Raw genomic sequence first — 5382 nt, forward strand, 5'->3', positions numbered from 1 at the left:
TCTGGGAATTGGAAGGACAATTTGGAAGGGCAAAAAAATGCCTGCCCAGTCCAAATCTGGCTAAAAGACACTATCGCTTTTCCTTATCAAAGGCAATATCCCTTAAGGCCTAAAGCTCATAAAGGATTGCAGGATACTTTAAACATTTAAAAGCTCAAGGCTTAGTAAGGAAATGCAGCAGTCCCTGCAACACCCCAATTCTAGGAGTACAAAAACTGAGCGGTCAGTGGAGACTAGTGCAAGATCTTAGACTCATCAATGAGGCAGTAATTCCTCTAAATCCAGTTGTACCCAACCCCTATACCCTGCTCTGTCAAATACCAGAGAAAGTAGAATGGTTCATGGTTCTGGACCTCAAGGATGCCTTCTTCTGTATTCCCCTGCACTCTGACTCCCAGTTTCTCTTTGCCTTTGAGGATCCCACAGACCGCATGCCCCAACTTACATGGATGGTCTTACCCCAAGGGTTTAGGGATAGCCCTCACCTGTTTGGTCAGGCACTGGCCCAGGATCTAGGCCACTTCTCAAGTCCAGGCACTCTGGTCCTTCAGTATGTGGATGATTTACTTTTGGCTACCAGTTCAGAAGCCTCATGCCAGCAGGCTACTCTAGATTTCTTGAACTTTCTAGCTAATCAAGGGTACAAGGTGTCTAGGTTGAAGGCCCAGCTTGGCCTATAGCAGGTCAAATATCTAGGCCTAATATTAGCCAGAGGGACCAGGGCCCTCAGCAAGGAACGAATACAGCCTATACTGGCTTATCCTCACCCTAAGATATTAAAACAGTTGCAGGGGATCCTTGGAATCACCGGCTTTTGCCGACTATGGATCCCTGGATACAGCAAGAGAGTCAGGCCCCTCTATATTTGAATCAAGGAAACCCAGAGGGCAAATACTCATCTAGTAGAATGGGAACCAGAGGCGGAAACAGCCTTCAAAACATTAAAGCAGGCCCTAGTACAAGCTCCAGCTTTAAGCCTTCCGACAGGACAAAACTTCTCTGTATACATCACAGAGAGAGCAGGGATAGCTCTTGGAGTCCTTACACAGACTCGTGGGACAACCCCACAATCAGTGGCATACCTAAGTAAGTAAATTGATGTAGTAGCAAAAGGCTGGCCTCACTGTTTAAGGGTAGTTGCAGCAGTGGCCGTCTTAGTGTCAGAGGCTATCAAAATAATACAAGGAAAGGATCTCACTGTCTGGACTACTCTATAAATGGCTTACTAGCTGCCAAAGGAAGTTTATGGCTATCAGACAACCACCTGCTTGGATACCAGGTGCTACTCCTTGAGGGACCGGTGCTTCAAATACACACATGTGTGGCCCTCAGCCCTGCCACTTTTCTCCCAGAGGATGGGGAACCAATCGAGCATGACTGCCAATAAATTATAGTCCAGACTTATGCCGCCCAAGATGATCTCTTAGAAGTCCCCTTAGCTAATCCTGACCTTAATCCTGACCTTTCACCAATGGAAATTCATTTGTGAAACATGGGATACAAAGGGCAGGTTATGCCATAGTTAGTGATGTAACCATACTTGAAAGTAAGCTTCTTCCCCCAGGGACCAGTGCCCAGTTAGCAGAACTAGTGGCACTTAGCTGAGCCTTAGAACTGGGAAATGGAAGAAGAATAAATGTGTATACAGATAGCAAGTATGCTTATCTAATCCTACATGCCCATGCTGCAATATGGAAAGAAAGGGAGTTCCTAACCTCTGGGGAACCCCCATTGAGTATCACAAGGAAACCATGGAGTTATTGCATGCAATGCAAAAACCCAAGGAGGTGGCAGTCTTACACTGCTGAAGCCATCAAAAGGAGAGCGAGAGGGGAGAACAGCAGCATAAGTGGCTGGCAGAGGCAGGGAAAGATCAGCAGAAAGGAAAGAGAGAAAGAGACAGAAAGTCAGAGAAAGAGAGAGAGAGGAAGAAACAGAGACAAAGAGAAGGAGACAGAGGAAGAGACAGAGAGACAGAAAGTCAGAAGGAAAGAGAGGAAGAGAAAAAAGGGGAGTCAGAGAGAAAGTCAGAGAGAAAGAGAGAGACAGACAAACAAGGAGTCAAAGAAAGAGAGAAAGAGAAGCAGTAAAGAAAAAAGTGTATCCTATTCCTTTAAAAGTCAGGGTAAATTTCTGTCTACCTCGCCAAGGCATATTCTTCTTACATGGAATCTCAACCGATATCTGTCTCTCAGACAGTTTACAAGAAATAATGAGATCTATCCTTACTCTACAATCCCAAATAGATTCTTTGGCAGCAGCAACTATCCAAAACCGCCTAGGCCTAGACTTCCTCACAGCTGAGAAAGGAGGACTCTGCACCTTCTTAGGGGAAGAGTGTTGTTTTTACACTGACCAGTCAGGGATACTATGAGACGCTGCCCGGCATTTACAGGAAAAGGCTTCTGAAATCAGACAACGCCTTTCAAACTCTTATACCAACCTCTGGAGTTGGGCAACATGGCTTCTCCCCTTTCTAGGTCCCGTGGCAGCCATGTTACTGTTACTCACCTTTGGGCCTTGTATCTTTAACCTTCTTGTTAAATTCATTTCCTCTAGAATCAAGGCCATCAAGCTACAGATGGTCTTACAAATGGAACCCCAAATGAGTTCAACTAACAACTTCTACCGAGGACCCCTGGACCAACCCACGTGCCCTTCCACTGGCTTAAAGAGTTGCCCTCTGGAGGACATTACTACTGCAGGGCCCCTTCTTTGCCCTTATCCAGCAGGAAGTAGTTAAGTGGTCATTGGCCAAATTCCCAACAGCAGTTGGGTTGTCCTGTTTAGAGGGGTGACTGAGACATGAAGCTGGCTGAGCTTCTGGGTCAGGTGGGGACTTGGAGAACTTTTCTGTCTAGCTAAAGAATTGTAAATGCACCAATCAGCACTCTGTGTCTAGCTAAAGGTTTGTAAACACTCCAATCAGCACTCTGTCAAAACGAACCAATCAGCACTCTGTAAAATGGACCAATCAACTCTCTGTAAAATGTACCAATCAGCAGGATGAGGGTGGGGCTAAATAAGGGAATAAAAGTAAGCCACCCAAGCCAGCAGCAGCAACCCGCTGGGGTCCCCTTCCATGCTGTGGAAGCGTTGTTCTTTCACTCTTCACAATAACTCTTGCTGCTGCTCACTCTTTGGGTCCGTTCCACCTTTATGAGCTGTAACACTCACTGCGAAGGTCTGCAGCTTCACTCCTGAAGCCAGCGAGACCATGAACCCACCAGGAGGAATGAACAACTCCAGACGTGCCACCTTGAAGAGTTGTAACACTCACTGCAAAGGTCTGCAGCTTCACTCCTGAAGTCAGCCCGAGACCACAAACCCACCAGAAGGAATAAACTCCAGACACGTCCAAACATCAGAAGGAACAAACTCCACACACGCCATCTTTAAGAACTGTACCACTCATCACGAGGGTCCGTGGCTTCATTCTTGAAGTCAGTGAGACTAAGAACCCACCAATTCCTGTCACATTAATAGGACACATAACTTTGAAATATGAAATAGAGATTTATAAGCCTAGAGGTTGAATGGATTAGCTTGAAATTTATTTTTTTCTGTCATTGACATGGAACCATTTCTAAGAAAAATAGATACTTGAAGCTTATGGATAGGACAGGAATATAAAAATTTATATTTCTAGCTTCTGGAGTATGTATTAGATTTTAAAGCTGAGAGGCTTTAGTGCAACGGGAAGAGTGCCACACTCTTCAGGTAAATGTAGCTTGAAGATGTGGCCCCTGGGGCATAGTCCTTGCAAAAAAAGATGCCTCTTTCACATCTTGAAAAGACATTCTAAATATTCAGAGAGGCCAAAGATGTGAAAAGAACAGAAACAAAATAGATTATCTGTGCCACCATCATATCTACTGCTCTTAGTAACTTGAAACACAAATTTTGTCTAACTACAAAACACATAGCTGAGCAAGTCTTGCTTTTCTTTTTCTGACTTTCTTTAAAATTGTGTTAGAAGAAAACATCTCTTACTATGTAACAGAATGTCCTCTAATGGAGCCTGGTGGAAAAACGAAACCTGGTGGAAAGATGCTGAAGAATATAAATAGTATTTATTTGACTTAGAAAAATTAATATATGGTCCCCAATAAGTTTAAAAGTAATAGAGCATAAATAGGAGAAGAAAATGTCAGTGCCTTCTTTATTTTGCAAGTGAGGATACATATTAAGTATGTATTGAGATCTCAAAAAACTTGATTTCCTGAGAACATCAGAAATGTAAACAAATAATGTAAAGCATGATGAAAATACATGATGTAATTGATTGAAAATAAATCAGTGTTGTAATTTGCTAACATTGCACTTGTATTTTATAGGGAAAATATCTCTTTATCCATGATGGCAATCATCAAATGTCCTTACTCATTAATGATAAAGTATATATTGGCGTATGTATACATGGAAAGCAGGCTCTTGATGAATTGCATGTTCAATATATTGAAAGTAGATAAATACAGTGATTTAAAAAAATGAAAAAATTTTCTAGATTACCAAACTGTAAGTTCTAAGGAACACTGAGAAGTCATTATATAACCCCTGCCTTTGGATTGGATGATACTTAAAATAGTCTTACAGAGTGACAATCCTGTTATAGTTCCACAATTACTGAAGCAGATATCATAATTCCCATCAATCAGAAAATCCTCCATGTTCTAATGAGTTATGAACAGGACATGTGCATAAAGCCATTTCTTCTTAAAGATAATCATATAATTTCTGTCCCAAAGTAAAATAATATTAATGAATAATGATAATACAATTTTATTTCTTATAAAATTTTTCCATATACTTGTTAGGTTTATTTTATCCTCATAAAAGCCCAGCATGGCAATTACACTTTCCTTGTTTTACATTTGGAATGCCCAACAGTTGGTGAGGGCTTAAGTCATTGGCTTTGGAGACAAAGGGAGGATAGGTTAATCACATACTTGCCCATGAGAAATAATAAGGAGTCTTCTATTCCAGTTGTGGAATGGTGTTTGGCAACACTGGTTCCTAATTCTCCTAGGATGAATTATTTTAAGATAGAAAATATAATTTTTGTTTTTAAGTAGGTAGCCCGTTATGTAACTGACATTATCCTAGGTATTTTACATGTTACGCTATTCCTTTACGCAGTGATCCTTCCCTGTGATTAAAGCAAGTTGATATAATTTCAATAATACTTGTGCACCTGAAATCGCAAATGAGAGGTTAGATACAGCCAATGCCTAAAACACATAGGTTTGAGGCATAGATAATTTGATGAACAAAAGCTTTTAAAGAGATTGCAAATCCAGTGGCTTGCAGCTGTGCACAAGTTTACTATGAGACTATGTAAAAACACCAAAATAATTCATTTCCACAATGTTCTCTTTATCT

At 41.5% G+C, this 5382-nt stretch overlaps 1 annotated feature.

Moving 5' to 3' along the window:
- Positions 927-1096: an enhancer, noted in NCBI's record as "experimental_85089 CRE fragment used in MPRA reporter constructs". NCBI's record gives its function as "activates a minimal promoter by MPRAs in K562 erythroleukemia cells, with activity observed for the non-introgressed 5:42115547 variant allele {active_cell/tissue: K562}" and the evidence as "EXISTENCE:reporter gene assay evidence [ECO:0000049][PMID:34662402]".

Source organism: Homo sapiens, chromosome 5 (assembly GCF_000001405.40).
Source record: "Homo sapiens chromosome 5, GRCh38.p14 Primary Assembly".
NCBI classification, from domain to species: Eukaryota; Metazoa; Chordata; class Mammalia; order Primates; family Hominidae; genus Homo; species Homo sapiens.